The sequence below is a fragment of the Homo sapiens genome, chromosome 6, assembly GCF_000001405.40.
Source record: "Homo sapiens chromosome 6, GRCh38.p14 Primary Assembly".
Taxonomy (NCBI): Eukaryota; Metazoa; Chordata; class Mammalia; order Primates; family Hominidae; genus Homo; species Homo sapiens.
The window spans coordinates 37,895,612-37,916,316 of NC_000006.12; the positions used below are offsets into that span (position 1 = coordinate 37,895,612).

The 20,705-nt window shown below is 36.2% G+C and overlaps 1 protein-coding gene and 1 pseudogene across 3 annotated transcripts in view, besides 1 other annotated feature; both read left to right on the forward strand.

Annotated features, from left to right (window-relative positions):
* The window catches only part of ZFAND3 (zinc finger AN1-type containing 3), a 334,898-nt gene that overhangs the window by 75,885 nt on the left and 238,308 nt on the right, over positions 1–20,705 (forward strand). The window lies entirely within an intron of this gene.
* Positions 16,192–16,241: a silencer, noted in NCBI's record as "silent region_17158". NCBI's record gives its function as "represses an Ori minimal core promoter by ATAC-STARR-seq in GM12878 lymphoblastoid cells {active_cell/tissue: GM12878}" and the evidence as "EXISTENCE:reporter gene assay evidence [ECO:0000049][PMID:35858748]".
* Positions 19,962–20,131, forward strand: RNVU1-33 (RNA, variant U1 small nuclear 33; annotated as a pseudogene).

The window sequence follows — 20,705 nt, forward strand, 5'->3', positions numbered from 1 at the left end:
TTCAATTCTGGATCACTTTTGATTGAGTTGATTTTTCTTGTCACTGTGGGTCATATTTTCCTGCTTCTTTGCATGCTAGTTAAAAGTTTAAATTGTATACCAGAGATTGTGAACTTTACCTTGTTTTCATAGATATTTTTGTATTCTTGTAAATATTCCTGACTTTATTTTGGCATGCTGTTAAGTTTCTTGGGCAGAGTTCAGTCATTTCTTGTCTTTCTAAGTTTTGTTAGGCTGTGGTGTACCAAATCAACATTTAATCTAGGGTTCATTTACTCCACTACTGAGGCAAAACCCTTTTGAGCACTCTACCCTGTGTCCTATGAATTGTGAGGTTTTCCATTCTTACTGATGGGAACACGCACTATTCTAGGCCCTGTGTAAGCTATGGCATTTGTTCCCTCTAGTTATTTTCAGAAGTCTTTGTCCTTCCTTACATTGAGTAGATTTACAGATGTCATCATAATGGTTATGGTTATACTGATTTTGTTTCTTATTTGAAACAGAAAGCTCAGCTTTTCACTGTTAGGTTTGATGTTCCATTTTGGCTTTATTTAAACCTTTTTTCTTTTTCTTTTACAGTATCCTTTTTTTCTGAAAGAAAGTTTCCTTCTGTTGCCTTTGATTTTTTTTGTTTTACAAAAAACCGTGGATGAATATTAATTTTTATCCAGTTATTTTTCTCTGTCCATTGGATGCTCAAGTTTTTTTCTCCTTTATTTTGTTAATGTGGCCTATTACATAAATGTTTGAGTATTAAATCAGCCTTGGACTCCCATGAAAAAACCCAACTTTATTGTACCATGGTATTTTATTGCCCATTTTGGTTTGCTAAATTTTGTTTACATTCTTTGTATCTGTGTTCATGAATGAGGCTGGTGTCTTAATTTTTTTCCTCTTTCTTTTCTTTCTTTCTTTCTTTCTTTCTTTCTTTCTTTCTTTCTTTCTTTCTTTCTTTCTCTCTTTCTCTCTCTTTCTCTTTTTCTTTCTCTCTCTCTTTCTTTCTTTTCTTTCTTTCTTGCCTTCCTGCCTTCCTGCCTGCCTGCCTTCTGTTTTGTGTGTGTGTGTGTCTGTGTGTGTGTGTGTGTTTTAAATACCTATAATGCCCTTATTGAGTTTTGGCATCAAGGTTATGCTGGTCTCATCAGGTGAGTGGATGAGTGCTCCTTCTCTTGCCCTGCTGTGTTTAAGATGGATTTATTTCTTAACTCTTTGTAGAAATTGCCAGTAAAGCCAACCGAGACTGAGATTTTCTTCATTTCTAATGAAGTTCTAAATTTTGGATTTATTTTCTTCTTCACTGTAGGATTGGTTAGATTTTGTTTATTCTTTTTGGTTTTGGTAAGTTTTTTTTCCCTAGAAGTTTAAAATTTATAATTTATTAACATGATATTGTTGATAATATCCTCTTTTTAAATTTAGATATGACTTACATATAATAACAAGTATGATGTTAAATTTACAACGTAATGAATTTTCATACATGTATATTTCTATCTATATATGTCTATATTTGTGTAATCAACAGCTAGAGCAAGGTAAAGAATATTTCCTTCATACCTGTAGGCTCCTTCTTGCCCTCTTCTACTTAAAGCCTTGTCTGTACGTAACTATTATTTTGATCTCTATCACTGTAGTTTTAGTTTTATCTGTTTTAAACATCATGTAACTAGAATCATAGGCACTTCTTCATGTCTGGTGTGTTTTGCTCAACATTATGTCTGTAAGGTTCATCTTTGTTGTTGCTTATGGTAGTAATTCTCATCCCATTGTGTGAATACAGAACAGTTTATGGATTTATTCACTTGTGGGTAGACATTGGCTTATCTTCCGTCTTTGTTAGGTGTAATGCTGCTGTGAATGTTGCTTTATATGTCTCTTGGAAGAAATTCAGCTTCGTATTTCAAGAGTATATAGATGAGAGGGAATCGGTGAGTCATAGGTTATCAATGCTAAGCTTTTGCGGTAGTGGCTATACCAGTTTACTCTCCCAGCATCAGCGGATTAGTATTTCAGTGTTCCACACCTTTGCCAGAATTTGGATATTTTCAGTCTTCTAGCCTCTGGTGGAGTTATATTGGTGTGGCATTTTAATTTTAATTTGCATTGTCTGATGTCTACTGATGTTGAACTGTTTTCCATTTTTTTATTGACCGCATAGATGTCTGCATTTTTGAAGTGCCTGTTCAAGTCTTTTGTCCAATTTAAATTGGGAATCAACAGTCAGCAAGTAGTCAGAAAAGAATAGCAAAAACACACAAAATAAATAAATTGGGAGTCAGTCTTCTTATTGATTTATAGTTCTTTTTATAGTTTACGCACATACCCACACACACACCCCATGTATGTGTATTGCAGCTATCTTCTCCCAATCTGTGGTTGACTTTTTTATTCCCTTAGTGTTATCTTTTGATGAACAGAAGTTCTCAATTTTAATGCAGTGTTATCTATCATTGTTTTATGTGGTCAGGACTCTTTGTGTTTTAAGATATCTTTTCCTATTACAGAGTTAAAAAAGACATTCGAGTTCATTCTTCTAGTTTTATTGTTTTATATTTCGCATTTGGGTCTACTGTACACATTTACATGTGATGTAAAGTAATGGTGAAAGTTCATTTTTTTTTCACACTGATATCAAGTTGACCCAGCTCCGTTTATTGAAAAGACCATTTTCCCTAGTGCTTGCTGTGGTAGTGTTAAGCCACATGCAGGTCTGTTTCTGGACTTTTAATTCTGTTCCATTGGTCTGTTTGTCTGTTTCTACATCAGTGACATGCTGTCTCTATTGCTGTAGCTTTCAGATAGGTTTTCATATCTGGTAGTGTAAGTCCTTCAGGTTTTTTATTATTCTTCATGATTGTCTTAGCTATTCCACAGCCTTTGAATTTTCATATAAATTTTAGAGTCAGACTGTCAATTTCAGTTAAAAAGAAATGCTGTGGTTTTGATTGAAATTCTATTGAATCTAAGCATAGTATATATATTTCCATTTATGTAAGTCTTTAATTTCCCTCAGAAGTGTTTTATAATTTTCAGTGTAGCAACCCTGTACATCTTTTAGATTTATTTCTTGGTATTTGATATCTTTTGATATAAGTACTATGATTTAAATTTCACTTTTTAACTTGTTTATTGTTTTAAATGAGGAAATAAAATTAATTTTTGTATGTTGACCTTATTCAGTGACCTTGCTAAATTCATTAGTTAATTCTAATATTTTACAGATTTCTTTCCATGATACCCAGTCATGTTATGTATGAATAATGACAGGTTTACATATTCATTTCTTATTTATTTATTTTGAGACGGAGTCTCACTCTGTTGCCCAGGCTGGAGTTTAGTGGCGCGATCTCGGCTCGCTGCAAGCTCTGCCTCCCGGGTTCACGCCATTCTCCTACCTCAGCCTCGCAAGTAGCCGGTACTACAGGCGCCCGCCACCACGCCTGGCTAATTTTGTTTTTGTATTTTTAGTAGAGACGGGGTTTCACCGTGTTAGTCAGTGTGGTCTCGATCTCCTGACCTCGTGATCCACCCGCCTCGGCCTCCCAAAGTGCTGGGATTTACAGGCATGAGCCACCACACCTGGCCATTCGTTTCTGATTTTTAAGATTCCTTTTTCTTTTGATGATGTTGGCACCACTAATCTTTTTGATTCTTATTTGACTTTCCTTGCTTAATTCCACTTGCTAGAATCTCTACTATAATGTTGAGTAGTTGTGGTGATAGTGTACCTTCTTACTTTTTTCCTGCATCGGGGAAAAGCGTGCAATATTTCACCATTTAATGTGATATTAACCTATTATTGTTAGCCTTTAACAATAGTGGCTGAGTAGCCACTATTATTGTTAAAATGTGCCCAGCCTGTTCATTTTTGTGTTGTGACTTTTTCTGAGGTTTCATGAATGCTTTAATGATCCGAAGTTATTGTTCATTTGTCCAATTTAGATGTATATTTGTATTTAAATTGTAGATGTAAACTAATACTTGAAATAAGCACTGTTTAAATAGGATTGATCTAATTTTAGCCCTTATGTTTTAGACGTTAGAGATGCCCGTTATTATCTTTGCATATTTCAAATAAAATTTCTTTACAATTCTTTAATTGCCCTGTTTTGAAGAAATAATACAACTAATGCACATGGTAAAAATTTAAACAGTTCAAAATGGTTTACAGTGAAAAGTAAATATTTTTACTTCCGTTCACAGTTCCATTACCCCGAGGGCAACCTATGTAACCATGGTGTTTTTTGATGGGGAGTATCCTTCTACTTTGTACTGTGCTTAACCATTATACATTTAAACAGTATATGTTTGGGCATGTACTATACATACTATTCAGCTTCTTATGATGTGTTTTATTGATTGTTTTATAACAGTGTATGTAGAATTACGTCATTCTTTTGGGTAAGATTGTTTTATATCAGTATATGTAGAATTATTCTTTTGGGTAGTGTCATATTATACTCAATAGATTCAGCATACTTTAGTCTCTTTTTATGGACATTTAGGTTATTACCAATCTTGTTTTAACTGTTTAACTGTGATTTAGTTATGTAACTATTTTAAACAATACTGCAGAAACCCTTGCAATACAAGTTTTTCTGCGTATGTGTGGGAATTTCTTCCCATATTATCTTAATGTTTTTATTTATAACTTCTTTTATACTGTGTTCTGAGAACATTACATAGCAAAGTACTCTTTCAGTACTCTTGAGAATTAGAAATTACTATTCAAAATTTTACTCTCTTGGAATAGGCTTGCAGAAGACATCTCTTTTTCAAGAGGAGAAACTCATCTTACAAATGGTGTTTGAGCAAACTTCCTTTTGTGTAGAAATTCAGTGTAAAATTTTAATATCAAATAATGGGCAATATTGAGTTGTTGCAATTTTCATTACTTTTAAACTGATTTAGTTTTCTAAGTAGAGTGCACTAGTTCTGTAGATTTTTTTCCCCTCTTTTTGGAAAAGCACTAGTATTTTGTAAAGAATACATTACTTGCTTGTTGTTAGTATTTGTAGTAACAAGGTTATTAACTCATTCAACAAATACTTGTCACAGGTCTGTTATGTTCCAGGTAGCGGAAATTCCATGCTATGGAAATATATCAGTAAAGAGTTCGTCATGGAGCTTTTATGGAGTTGCAGAATCGGGTGGGGCAAGAATAAAATAATTGATTTAATTGTAAATAATAAAAATATGTTGGCAGGCTAATTGGTGATCAATACTAGGAGAAAAATAAAGCATGCAGGCAGAATATGGAGTGCCGAGATTCAGAGTTTAAAATAGGATATACCTTAGGGAAGGACCTACAAGAAACTGGTGGTTGCTTTTAATAGAGGGGAACTGAGTGTGTGAAAGACAGGAGTGGGAATGAGACATACGTTTCACTAGTACTTTTTTTGTGCCTACTGAATTTTTTTTTAACATGCAGTATGTTTATTGGAATAAATTCAATTTTATTGAAAGATAGGCTACTGTGGTGTTAGAGGTGAGGGAGCAAGGGAGCAAGCCGTCCAATTTTTGGCAATTCATTCTGGTGCTTTCACTGTGGCCAGGCCTTCTTACTCAGAAATGAGTAGTAAGTGGTTCTATAATCGTATATTCCTACCGATAGCATATTAAGGAAGGAAAAGGGCATCCTGAGAAAGCAAGGGAGATTTGAGTGGTAAATGGGTAAGAGATGAAAAGTTATCAAATCCAGAAAAACCTTTTACTGTTATTTTAAATCATGAACAAGGCTGTGTTGGCCAGGTGTGGTGGCTCCCGCTTGTAATCCCGACACTTGAACTGAAGTTCGAGACCAGCCTGGGCAACATGGTGAAAACCCTTCTCTTGAAAAATACAAAAATTAGCGAGACGTGGTGGCACACACCTGTAGTCCTAGTTACTCATCAGGAGGCTGAGGTAGGAGGAGGATTGCTTGAGCCCAGGAGATTGAGGCTGCAGTGAGCCGACATTGTGCCACTGTGCTCCAGCCTGGGTGACAGAGTGAGACCATGTTTCAATAACAACAAAAAAAGGATGTGTTTGTCTTTCTAATATGGAAATGAAATCATCAATTACTAACTTCCAGTATGTTTCAGTTAAGCCTTTTAGAGGGGCTTCAGCCTTTTGAATGAAAGCAGTGAGGTTGAGTGAAGGTTTGATACTCACTTCCATGTTCTGTTTGCTGCATCTGAACCACTAGCAGACTGACTTGAGGTTTCTCTCACAAAAGCTGAAGGGATTCACAGGTGCTTAGGTTAAGTACTGGAGAGACCTTCTTGCTGAGGCCTTTAACAAAATTGCAAAAGACAAAAGTAATTTAATTCCTTACTTGGTTCTCTGGTGCTGTATATAAAACCAATTGACATGTAACACTTGTAGCTGTTGAGGGTTAATTTTAAATATTCTGTTAGTTTGTTGAGTGTCCTCTGGTAATTCTGTTTTTAAATTCAGCGTTTGTATTTGTATATTTGGAAAGTATAGATACTGCCTGCAAAGGGTAAAGGTGGGGTTAATTTGGAATCTGAATATAAAATATTTGTTATAAAATGAATATAATAGCATTATGGCCAGGTACAGTGGCTTACTCTTGTAATCCCAGGACATTGGGAGGCCAAGCCAGGAGGATTGCTTGAGCCTAGGAGTTCAAGACCAGCCGAGGCAACATGGTGAAACAAAAAATACAAAATTATTGTATTTTGTATTTTTAATACAAAAATTAGCTGGGCATAGTGGCACATCCCTGTAGTCCCAGGCACTCGGGGGGCTGAGGAAGGAGGATTGCTTGAGCCCAAGAGGTTGAGGCTGCGGCTGTGGTGAGCTGAGATGATACCACTGCACTCTAGCCTGCCATGCACTCTAGCCTGAGTGGCAGAGTGAGACCCTGTCTCAAAACACCACCACCACCACCAAACAAACAAAACAAATATAACGTTAGTAAAAATTATAAAAGAAAATGTTGTTCATATCTTTTCAGGTGTGTTAGACCCTTCTAGTTCTTGTCTGTTGCTTCCACATCTGTTTCCAATAGCTGTAATCATGAATTAGATCCCATTTCCTTTTTTAAAAAAGTAATTTTAATTGAATGTAGACTTTTTCTTTTCAGATAGAGATGCAGCAGCAAGCTTCTTTTACTTACTTTTTTTTTTTTTTTTTTTTTTTAAGAGATGATGTCTCACTATATTGTCCAGGCTGGACTTGAATTCCTGGGCTCAGGTGATTCTCCTGCTTCGGCTTCCCAGGTAGCTGGGACTATATATAGGCATGAGCAACTGCACTGGCCATGTCCCATTTACTTAACATTTTACAAACATTACCCTATGTTGTTACTTAGTTTGGAAGTAGTTTCATAGATGATTTTAAATAGTAATAATTTCAGAGTAACATAAAGCTGGAAAATTGGCAAAGCATGTCAAGCTGTGTGCAGTAATTTAGGATGGATCCTTACACTTCTCTAAAAAGTATTCATTTTTAAAAGGTTGCTTTGATCACCAGTCTTGAAAGTTTTGAGAGTCTTTATTGGTACATAATGAGAATTTTTAAGCTTAGAAAACCAATTTTGTGTTAAAACTTCTTTATTTATTGGGTAGACTTGTATCAGAATTATAATTACCTGTATAATTGAAAAATCCTATAATTTAAGGTGTAAATATTTAAGCTTTCTAGTTAGAGTCACCAACAAAATATATAGGAATATTTAATTTCTTCTTTGACACGTGAAATATTCTGGCAAGCTTTCAGACTAGTAGAACAGTTTCCAGAGATTGAATAAAATTGTTTATCACTAATTTACTGGTCATCTAGATTACCACATTGGTTTTCTGGGAACTTCATCATTCAGGGGCTAATCATCCATTTTCTGAATTTTCTAAATTACTGTCAAAGCGTCTCCTATCTACTGTATCACCTTTCTTGCTACCAAGCTTTTACTTACAGCGCATATTCCGTTTAGTAGAGTAAGATGGAATAGCAAGAGTATGTAACATTGACCCTAGGTCAGTGGTCTGTGGTTCTTGGGTGGGAGAGATAAAGGAGGTTTAACAATTGAGAATTTCAAAGTCATCAGTGGCAGAGCACGCGCTCTAATAGCATGAATAATTTAATCATAACTAAGGTAGGACTGATGAAAATTTTAAACGTGCAATTCATAAAAATGTGCTTGCTTTTTAAAAATTGTTTTCCATAAATAAGTTGGAATCTATCCTCTGTACCTTGTAAGTTGCTAGCTGCTATTCTAAACAATAGTCCCTTTATGAGGTGAGAGGTTTTTGTTCTGTGGATATTCTCAAAGGGCAATATGACGAAATTCTGAAATAAAGGGACAGATTTTCTTTAAAAAGAAACAAACTACTTGGCCTGCTTGGAAAGGAATAAATAACTATAGCCTACAGTTTTTGCTTTTCTGGAATGCCAAATTTCAGCTCAGAGCAGATTCTTCAGCTGAGCAATAAACCTTTGAAAATTGCTTTATAATGGAAATGCTGACAGACCATTAACTATAGTGGTGCAAATGTGCTGCTCTGACATACATAAGGTTGTCCCAAGTTGCTAAATAGAATAAACCATGTTGGGCAGTGTACATCCTGTGGAAGCCTATGTGGGTGTATACAGTTTGTCATGTTATGCCACCTGATTATTAATGGGCGAAGTTCCATCATATCACCTTTGACATGCAGCAGAAGTACCGTTTTAGAAGGAAGGAGTGGTTTAGGCTCTGCTGATGCTGATAGCTCATTTTATATTTGCTATACTGGAAAAGGCCCAGGGTAAATTTAACATGATGCATTTAATCACCATTCCAATCACAGTGCCACTGAAGCAAATCAATGTTTTCTTACTACCAATTCATTGGAACTTCCAGGTCATAAAGTATCATTATTAGGCATATTGGAAAGTCTCAGCCCAATGAAAATGTGGATTCTGGGATTTTCCAGTTGCTTTGAAATAGTGACAGAGGCTGCCTGGCTGTACATTTTCCCCATGTATAATGAAAACTGGAATTTAAAGGGATTGATACGACAAAGCAAGAATTATATAATGACCTAGGGAAGGATGAAGCAGAATGTTCACTTCTAAAAGCAAAATAAGGAAAATGATGAAGAGGGGTGATTATTTCCATAGTAGCCTGCTTAGTGACTCATGTCCCTGCTAATAATAAGTATTGTGAGAATGTGTCTTATTCTTGGCTATATTCACAGCGCCTAGAACAGTGCCTGGCACATAATGTGGATGTCAGTCAATGTTGGATTTACTTGTGCTTGTTTATTTAAAAACTATTTGGGGTTAGATTGTCAGGAACCCTGCTACATGTTGTGTAAGGCTTCTAGTGTGTACGTGTGTGTATTTCATATAATACATTTATGTGTATGAGCAGTTGGAATTGATCACTAAAATATTTCTTAAAGGTAATATAAGTACAATTTGGTATGTTGAGTATCATGAATGAATCAATGCAAAGATTCAAGTATCTTTGGGTAGAATCATGTCCTTTGAAATGTCAGTGTACAGTAAAAAGGTCTGACATCATAACTAGATTATAAATCCTATACTCTTGTACTCCAAAGTCAGTATAGTTGGACTGGCTTGTATGTCCTGTTTGACAAAATATAAATTTTACTTTCCTGTGGCAATTCCCAAACTGGGCTGACCACTTGGACTTTTAAGAAAATGTAAGCACTCTTGGGCATTGACCCAACGATTTTCATTCACTAGATCCTGGGGTGGGGCCTAGGAATCTGTGTTTTTTAATAATTTCCTTTCTGTAGGTGTTTACATATAGTCAGTTTCTCTGCTACCCACCTTTCATGATATACTTTGAAATTTGGTGACAATCACCTTGGACCTTTTGGGTTCTCTGGAAATGGTAACCAGTAAGGTAATTAATAATTAATATCTTATACTGGTAGAGGGAAAGAAATGCTAACATGTGTCATACTAAAGATCTTTTAGGACTAGTGCTGACTTTCTGTTCATATATTTCACTGGAAAGCTATTGTCAGGACATTTTGCGGAAGGTGTTTTTTAAAATGTGGCATATTCATAGAGTTGTATTGCTGGAAGTTACCTTAGAAATCATTTAGCTTATTCCCTTTTATATTTGAGTTAATCTTAAAAATGTTAGGGTTAGGGTGTACCACTTATTAGTTAAGTTGCCTCATTTCTCTTAGCCATGGTTTCTTAAGCATAAGATGGGAATGATAATACCTACCTACCTTATAGTTTTTTTTAAGGATTTAACTGAAATTCAAAAAAAGTTGCTAGCATACATCTTGTTTGTAGCAGTGTAGCAAGTGTTCAGTAAATGTTTAATATTTTGACATACCTATAATATGATCTATGGTATACATAAAAGCCAAAAGAGGTAGAAAAAGTTATAGTAATTAAGTTCAAGTTAAAAATGTTGTACACCCACAGGCAGAGTTTTATTTTTAAATTATGGTATAATACTTACACAATACACCATTTTAAACCATTTTAACCATTTTTAAGTAAATCATTCAGTGGTGTTTAGTACAGTCAGTGTTATGCAGTCATCACTGTCTAGTTTGAGAACATTCTTATTACCCCAAAAGGAAACCTGTACCCATTGAGGAGCCACTTCCTATTCTTTTCTCTGTATCCGCTTGCAGCCACTAATCTATTTTTTGTCTTTATGGATTTGTTTATTCAGTCTCTTTCATATGAGTGAAATAATAAAAAATGACTTTTCACTGTATAATGTTTTCAGGGCTTATCCGTGTTGTTGTGTGTATCTTACTGCATAACTTCCATTTTTTTTAAATGACCGAATAACATTCCATTGTATGGATATAACAGCCTTGTTTATCCAGTAATCAGTTGATAGACATTTAGGTCCCTTCCACCTTTTGGCTGTGTGAGTGGAGCTGCCACGAACATGCATGTATAAGTTTTTGTTTGAACACCTATTTTCACTTTTTGGGTATACACGTGGGTGTGGAATTGCTAGGTCTTGTGGTAATTCTATGTTTAACTTACTGAGGAAGTCCAAACTGTTTTCCACAGTGGCTGCACCATTTTACACTCCATTAGCAATGTATGAGGGTTCCAGTTTCTCCACATACTGGCCAACACTTACTTTCTGTTTTTTTTTTTTTTAATTAAATTTTATAGCCACCCTAGTGTATCTTATTGTGGTTTTGATTTGCATTTTGCTGATGGCTAATGACAGGCATCTTTACCTGTGATTTTTGACCATTCGTATATCTTCTTTGAAGAAATGGCTGTTCAAGTGCTTTGCCCACTGTTTAATTGGGTTGTCTTTTTGTTGTTGAAAGCAGTCTTTTGATTATGAAATTAATTTATGTATTCTTCTCTAGGGAGCTTATTTGGAAATATATACTTGGTAATATAAAAATTTATTTCGGAATATAAAATAAAGGACTGGACTTCATTACTTTTTAAGTAAACTTTTATTGGATGCTTCCTTTTAATGTATTTTTTTTTGTAGAAATGAAATTGTTTTAATTTTATAGCTTAGCCTGATGCCTGATTCCATGCTTGCACTGACTCTCTGTCTGCACTAACAAATTATCAGATTTATTCCTTTCCAAAATATCATTGATTTTTTTTCAGATCATAGAATATTCCTCTCCCAACTTTTTTGTTGACAGCTTTACTGAGGTGTAATTTACATGCCATAAAATACACCCATTCTAACTGTACGTAGTTCAGTGATTTTTAGTCAACTTAACAGCATTGTACCACAGTTAACACAATGCAATATTATAGCATTTCTATCATTCTGAAAAGTTTTCCTCAGACCTTTTGGAAGTCATTTTCTGTTCGCGCCCCTTGGTGAACACTGATGCTTTCTGTTACTCTTGATTTGCCTTTTCTGAGTATTTCACATAAATGGAATCATAATGTATAGTCTTTTGTGACTAGCTTCTCTCACTGAACGTGTTTTTGTGGTTCATCTGTGTTGTCGCATGTATCTGTAGTTCTATTTTTTATTACTGAGTAGTATTTCATTCTGTGGATAATACCACATTGTGTTTATTCATTCACTAGTTGATGGGGATTTGGATCATTTCTAGTTTTTGACTATTATGCATAATGAACATTCAAGTACAAGTCTTTGTGAGGACATCCTCTTTCAACTTTTTATTTTGAAAAATTTAAACCCCACAGAAAGATTGAAGTAAGTAGTATAGCAAACACCTATTTACTCTTCACCTAGATTGACTATTAACATTTGCCTGCTGTTCTTTGCCTTTTTCTATAAATATACCTTTTCCAGAACCATTTGTAGATATTATACTTTATCTCTTATGTATTTCAGCATGAATTTCCTAAGAATGAGAACATTCACATACATAACCACGATTTTATCACACTTAAGAAAATTAGCAGTAATCTCATGTCAGCTACTTTATAGTCCATATTGAAACTTGTCCCAAAAATGTCTTCTGTAGTTCCCACCCCGCCGTTTCTAATGTAACATCCCCAAATGATTTATGAATCGCAGTTGGTTTGATATTTCTCTTAGTCTGTCTTAATCTAGAATGGTTCCCCTTCTTTTTGTTTGTCCTGTCAGTGAGGTTTGGAAGAATACAAGCCTTCCACATTTTAGATCTGTCTCATTGTTTTTAATGATTTGTTTTAGGTTAAACATTTTGACAAGGATTCTTAATTTTAAGGTGAAGTTGTGTACATTTTAGCACACCAGTGATAAAGTGAAAAAGTGAGTTATAGCACAGATCTAAAAATACCTTAAATGCTTTATTTTAATGTAAAACGTAAATGTACATTGCCATTAGTGTGAACATAATGTCAAGTTCTCCCCTTGTGTAGAAAAGTTTGATCACATGTGCCATGCTGGTGCGCTGCACCCACTAACGTGTCATCTAGCATTAGGTATATACTAACCTGCACAATGTGCACATGTACCCTAAAACTTAAAGTATAATTAAAAAAAAAAATTAAAAAAAAAAAAAAAAAGAAAAAAAAGAAAATAATTAGGGAGCTTCCTGATAGCTTAACACATGGAGGTTCCTGGAGAGTGGCCCACTCAGGAAGGCTTGGAAGCTCCCAGCACCTTCCCCACTACCTTGCCCTACACATCTCTTCATCTGTATCCTTTGCAATATCCTTTATAATAAACAAGTAAACTTAATTTTCAAAGAAAAAAAAAAAAAAAAAGAAAAGTTTGATCACTTGCTTAGAGGTACTGAATGCCAGATTCTAAAGGAATGACTTTCTCTTTGTATTAAGTAATTTGTAGGATGAAACTTTGAAACCGTATGGGATCTTGTTTGTCAGTAACCTTTTACCTGATTGTTTCAGGGTCCTTGAAATAATTATTACATTGGGAGAATGCTTTAAAAAATAATTTCATAAGTTGTGTATTAGTTGAAGACATTTGACATTGTCTCCTTAGGTTTCTGTACTTGGGTAAATATACCCCAGATGTCTCATTGACTTGTTACATTGTATTTTATGCTTAACTCTTTCAGAGAGAAATTTACTTATGAATTTGTTATGGTAGTAAGTGTGGAGATGGATTTTGTTTTAGAAGTTGCTTTTGATTTTACATTGATAACTCGATTGCACTTTAGCACTCAGCAAGATGATAGAGAAATTAATGGAATCCATTAAGAGGGAAGACTTTCTAAATAGATGTTCACCTGACAAAACGAGATTTTTTTTCTTTTTTTCTTTTTTTTTTTTTTCTTTTTTGAGACGGAGTCTTGCTCTGTCGCACAGGCTGGAGTGCAGTGGTACGATCTTAGCTCACTGCATCCTCCGCCTCCCAGGTTCAAGTGAGTCTCCTGCCTCAGCCTCCCTAGTAGCTGGGACTACAGATGTGCGCCACCATGCCCAGCTAATTTTTGTATTTTTAGTAGAGTCGGGGTTTTGCCATGTTGGCTAGGCTCCTCTTGAACTCCTTACCTCAGGTGATCCACCTGCCCTTGGCCTCTCAAAGTGCTGGGATTACAGGCAGGAGCCACTGCGCTCAGCCTAGGTTTATTTCTGAATGTTAAGAATTTTGTTCAGAATTCTTTTTTTTTTTTTTTTTTTGATGTTTTGCTAAAGCTTTTGGTGGAGTTTCCTGTTTTGTCCTCTGCATTTCTGAAATTGCTTATACTATAGTTGTGCTGATTAATCATGGGTAGAATCTCAAAATGTTACATTCAAGCCTGTAAATACTTCCATTTCTTTTCCTGGGAAAAGAGAATACAGCATGTCAATAATATCAGTAATTAATGTGAAGCTCTTTGCTCTATCATTGATTTGTGACTGGCTTACACCAGAACATGGGAAATGTACATCAGAAGTCTCTTATTCAAATTGATAAAACTGATAGGTAAGTAAAAAAATGTGTTAAAGCATGGAATCTTAAAAAGCAACTTGAATGTTTAGTTTAATTTAAAACATAAATTTACATGATTTGCGTTTTTAAATGTAGGTCTAAGGCTTGTTCTTTGCATGTCATCAACTGATTTGAGAGCCATACACTTGTTTCTGCATAAGCCACACAAATAATACATAGTCTGTGATAATTTAGCATAGTAGAATGTGGCCTCTGAGACCAGGCCTCCTGGGCTGCAACCCTTATTCTCTTTTCTTACTAGCATATGAACCAAGGCAAGTTACTTGACAGTTCCTTGCCTCAGTTTCCCCATTTGTAAAATGCAGATAATACCAGTGAGTCAGTAATTGTCAAACACATACTAGTTTAAAATGATTAACTCATTTAATCCTGTTGGTAACTGGCATGTAAGTGCCTAAGTAATTGTTAATTAAGTAATGTCCAGTTTTGGTTTCATTAAGTGACATGAGAGTCTAAATACATTTGTGAAGCAATCTGAAGGTACTCTTTCTAGATTTAAAAAAAATATTTTAATTAAGACTTTTTAAATCTTGCAAATATAAATTGTGTATGTTTATGGTGTACAGCTTGGTGTTTTGATATATGTATACATTGTAATGGCTAAATCAAGCTAATTAACACCTCACACACCTATCATTTTTGGGGGGTGGGAACATTTAAAATCTCTTAGCAATTTTCAAGTATACAATAAATTGTTACTAAGTATAATCACCATACAATTGATTTATTCCTCCTAACTGAAATTTTATGTCCTTTGATGAACATATCCCCAACCCCCCATTCTACTCTCTGCTTCTGTGAGTTGGACTCTTTTACATTCTGCACATAAATGAGATCATGTGGTATTTGTCATTCGGTGTCTGGCTTATTTCACTTAACATGATGTCCTCCAGGTTCATCCAGGTTTTTACAAATGAAAGAATTTCCTTCTCTTTTAAGGCTTAATAGTATTCCGTTGTGTTTATATGTCACATTTTATCCATGCATCCATTAATGGGCACTTAGGTTGATTTCATGTCTTGGCTATTGTGAATAATGCTGCAGTTGAACATGGGAGTGTAGATATCTCTTCAGCATCCTGATTCCATTCCTTTGGATATATACGCAGAAGTGGAATTGCTGGCTCAATTCCACTGGTAGTTCTATTTTTAATTTTAATATACTGTTTTCCATATTGGATGTACTAATTCCAATGAGTAGTATACAAGGGTTCCCTTTTTCCCCCACGTCCTTGCCAACACTTGTTGTTATCTCTTGTCTTTTTGGATCATGGCCATCTAACAGGAGTGAGGTGATAACTATTCCACTGCAGTTTTAATTTGCATTTCTCTGGTGATTATTAATGTTGAATACTTTTTTGTGTACCTGTTAGCTATTTGTATGTCGTCTTTTGGGAAATGTCTATTCAGATCATTTGACCATTTAAAAAATTGGGTTATCTGTTTTCTTGCTATTGAGTTGAGCTCCTTGTATATTTTAGATGTTAAAGAAGTATGGTCATCAGAAGTACGGTTTGCACATATTTCCTTTCATTCTGCAGGTTGTGTCTTTACTCTGTTGACTGTTTCCTTTTCTTTGTATAATCTTTCCAGATTTATGATTTTTATCCATCCCAGTCTTTAAGTTGTCCTGACCATGCTTGGCAGTATGTCTTTTGATCTGTTCAAAGCAGTCAACATAGATTTTATAGAAATAATGCATCCTTTTTGCACTTACTGGTTTGGGTTGTAACTGATTATATTATCTACAGTAACAGAACAGGCATAATTATAAGGCAGATTTGGAAACAGAAACCACTGATTCTTGTTAGACATTCAGTTCAACAGGTGGGAGTGGAGATGAGCTTGTATATTGAAAAATAGCTTTGCTGCCTGAGATGGCATCTGGCAAGCTGTGGTTATGTCATCCTATTTTATGGGGGGCCTCACTAGCATAGGTTACTACAGTCAGTTGAGTAGAGTGTTGCCAAGAAAACTTAATGCTGCTTTCTTTGAAGATGAGTATGATGCAGATTCACCATCTTAGGGTGCCTAATGTAGGTTGGTTGCTATGGATCTGTCTTCTGCCAGTCTTTTATCTGTGTGTGTGTGTGTGTGTGTGTGTGTGTGTGTGTGTGTGTGATGGTGTAGGTAGCATATGTTTGTGAGAGGTGGCAAGTTTTGTGGCTAAGAAGATAGACTGACCTAGGACTATCAAGATCCTCTGAGAACAATTACCTGTGGCTCATCACCAGTCCCCAGCACTGAGGAGGGGGACCATGCACTCTGAGTTGAATTCTGTCAGTCGGATCCTGATCCCAGTGCTTTTTAATACTTCCGCCAGAGTCTTAGATGGTAGCACACAGAGTATGCTCATTAAGATTGTGAAATGGCATCAAATTGAATAGGTGGCTCAATAGAAAACTTGATTAAATTTCAGAATACCTGATGGTTCAGGAAAGTTGGCGAATATACATATGGCATTTAGCTGGATCAGGGCAAGATAATTTTCTTAAGGAAAGTAAATAGTTGTTGAAATTTGGTATGGGAGTAGAGTTTTTGTACTACACATGATAGTACAAAGTATCCCAAAGTGCTGAGAAAAACCAGTTAAATAAGGGTCATTGATAATGCTTTTGTAGTTGGTCCAAGTGTTGTGGGTTATTGTTAAGCTGATAATGCCTTTGCATTCAAAATCATTGATAAGAAGTCATATAATTGGAATGGTGCTTATGGAAATTACAGGGCTTCACTGTACTTAGTATTTCACAGTGTAAGCATATGATAGGGATATCAGAAAGAAATGTTCTGAGTGAGAAAACTGTTTGAAAAACTAGTAAATAGTCCTGTAGATGAATGTTGTAGTAGATACTTAGTTTAGAAATATTAGGAAATTTAGTAATTCTCTTAATAAATTACACAGGTATACCTTACAGATAATGCAGTTTTTGTTCCTGACCACCACAGTATAGCACAAGTTACACAAATTTTTTGGTTTCCGAGTACATATAAAAGTTATGTTTATACCATACTGCAGTCTGTTAAATGTATAATAGCATTATGTCTAAAAAATGTACATACTTTAATTAAGATATATTTTTGCTTAAAAATCTGCTAACAATCATCCAAACCTTCAGTGAAGCACAACTTTTTGCTGGTGGAGGATTTTCCCTTGATCAAGGTGGTGGTTGCTGAAGGCTGGGTGGGGGCTCTGGCAGTTTCCTAAAATAAGACAACAATGAAGTTTGCTGCATCAATTGCCTCTTTTTTATGAAATATTTCTCTATAGAATGTAATGCTGTTTGATAGCATTTTACCCACAGTAGAACTTCTTTCAGAATTGGAATCAATCCTCTCGAACCCTGCTGCTGCTTTATCAGCTGAGTTTATGTAATATTCTAAATCCTTTGTTATTTCAACAGTGTTTACAACATCTTCAGGAGTAGATTTAACTCAAGAAACCATTTTCATTCATTACTCATTCATTTCAATTTTATTATGACATTGCAGTGATTCATATCTTCAGGCTCTACCTCTGATTCTAGTTCTCTTGCTGTTTCCACCACATCTACAGTTATTTCCTTCACTGAAATCTGGAACCCCTCAAAGCCATCCATGAGAGTTGGAATCAACTTCCAAACTCCTGTGAATGTTGCTTTTTTGACCTCTTCCCATGAAGAGGTATCACAGATGTTCTTAAGGGCAACTAGAATGGTCAGTCCTTCCCAGAAAATAGTCTATTATTTACTTTGCCCAGCTGTCTATGGCAGCTATATTCTTTTTTTTTTTTTTTTTTTGAGACAGAGTTTTGCTCTTGTTGCCCAGGCTGGAGTGCAATGGTGTGATCTTGACTCACTGCAACCTCCGCCTCCCGGGTTTAAGCGATTCTCCTGCCTCAGCCTCCCGAATAGCTGGGACTATAGGCACAGGCCACCATGCCTGGCTAATTTTTTTTATTTTATTTTTTCATTTTTAGTAGAGATGGGGTTTCGCCATGTTGGCCAGGCTGGTCTTGAACTCCTGACCTCAGGTGTTCTGCTCACCTCAGCCTCCCGAAGTGCTGGGATTACAGGTGTGAGTTACTGCACCTGGCTGGCAGCTATATTCTTATGAAATGTATTTCTTAATAAGACTTGAAAGCTGAAATGATTCCTTGATCCATGGGCTACAGAATGAATGTTGTGTTTGCAGGCATGAAAACAGCATTCATTTCCTTGAACATCTCCATCAGAACTCTTGGGTGACCAGGTGTGTTGTCAGTGAGCAGCAGTATTTTGAAAGGAATTTTTTTTTCTGAGCAGTAGTTCTTAACAGTGGGCTTAAAATATTCAGTAAACCATCCTGTAAACAGATGTGCTATCTTCCAGACCCTGTTGTTTCGTCCCTGGAGCATAGGCAGAGTAGATTTAGCATAGTTGTTTTGTTTTGTTTTTTGAGACAGGGTCTCATTCTGTCACCCAGGCTGGGGTGCTGGAGCGCAGTGGTGCAACCTCTGCCTCCTGTGTTCAAGCGATTTTCCTGTCTCAGCCACCTGAGTAGTGGGGATTACAGGTGTACACCACCACACCTGGCTGATTTTTGTATTTTTAGTAGAGATGGGGTTTTGCCATGTTGGCCAGGCTGGTCTTGAAATCCTGGCCTCAAGTGATCAGCCTGCCTTGGCCTCCCAAAGTGCTGGGATCACTGGGATCACAGGTGTGACCCATAATTATTTTCTTTCTTTCTTTCTTTCTTTTTTTTTCTTTTTTTTTTAGTGGAGACGGGGTTTCGCTGTGTTAGCCAGGATGGTCTTGATCTCCTGACCTCGTGATCTGCCTGCCTCGGCCTCCCAAAGTGCTGGGATTACAGGTGTGAGCTACCGTGCCTGGCCAGGTGTGACCCATAATTCTTAAGGGCCCTAGGATTTTTGGAATAGTAGCTGATCACTGGCTTCAACTTAAAGTCACCAGCTGCCTTAGCCTTTAACAAGAGAATCAGTTGGTTCTTTGAAACGTTGAAGCCCAGCATTGACTTATCCTTTCTAACTACGAAGTCCTCTGTAGTATCATTTTCTAGTATAAGACTGTTTCATTGGCATTGAGAATCTGTTGTTTAGTGTAGCTACCTTCATTTTAGCTAGATCTTTTGGATAACTTGTTCCAGCTTGTACAACAGCACTTGCTGCTTCACCTTGCATTTTTGTTATGGAGATGGCTTCTTTTTTTTAAACCTCATGAACCAACCTCTGCTATCTTCACACTTCTCTTATGCAGCTTCCTCACTTCTCTCAGCCTTTATAGAATTGAAGAGAGTTAGGCTCTTGTTCTGGATTAGGATTTGGTTTAAGGGAATATTATGGCTGGTTTGATCTTCTGTCTTGATACTAAAACTTTCTGCATATTCGTATGTTCACTGGAGTAGGATTTTAAATTTCCCTTCAGAACTTTTTCTTTGCATTCACAACCTGGCTAACTGGCATAAGAGGCCTAGCTTTAGGCCTATCTTGGCTTTCAACATGCCTTTCTCACTAAGCTTAATCATTTCTAGTTTTTGATTTGAAGTAAGAGACATGTGACTCTTTTCAGTTGAACACTTAGAGGGCATTGTAGCATTATTGACCTAATTTTAATAGTGTCCCAAGAAAATGGGAGACAGATGGAGGAATGGCCAGTTGGCAGAGTGATCAGAACACACATAACATTTATTGATGAAGTTTGCTACCTTGGGCTTATCCATTGCACTCTGGATGTGCTGACCCCTGCAATTTTCCACAAATGTGAGAAACTTGACTGCATAATTTATGGTAGTGGGAGGCTGCGTTTGCACTCTCCCCTGATGCTATGTGTTTTTAAAAAATTTTTTGTTTATTTATTTTTTCAGACGGAGCTTCACTCTTGTTGCCCAAGCTGGAGTACAGTAGCACGATCTCAGCTCACTGCAACCTCTGCCTCCCAGATTCAAGTGATTCTCCTGCCTCAGGCTCCCAAGTAGCTGGGATTTCAGGCATGTGCCACCACGCCCAGCTAATTTTTTATTTTTAGTAGAGACAGGGTTTCACCATGTTGGTCAGGCTGGTCTCAAACTCTTGACCTCAGGTGATCCGCCCGCCTCGGCCTCCTGAAGTGCTGGGATTACAGGCATGAGCCACTGTGCCCGGCTGCTGTGTTTTTTTTAACTTAAAAAAAAAAAAAAAAGTTTGCTGGCTTGTATGGGCATAGTTTATGGTGTCCCAAAACAATGACAATAGACATTAAAGACACTGATCACAGATCACCATTGTAGATATAATAATAATGAAAATGTTTGAAATATTGCAAACCTTATCAAAATGTGAAACAGATATGAAGTAAGCACGTGCTGTTGAAACAAAGACTTGCTCAATGCAGGGTTTCCATAAACCCTCAACT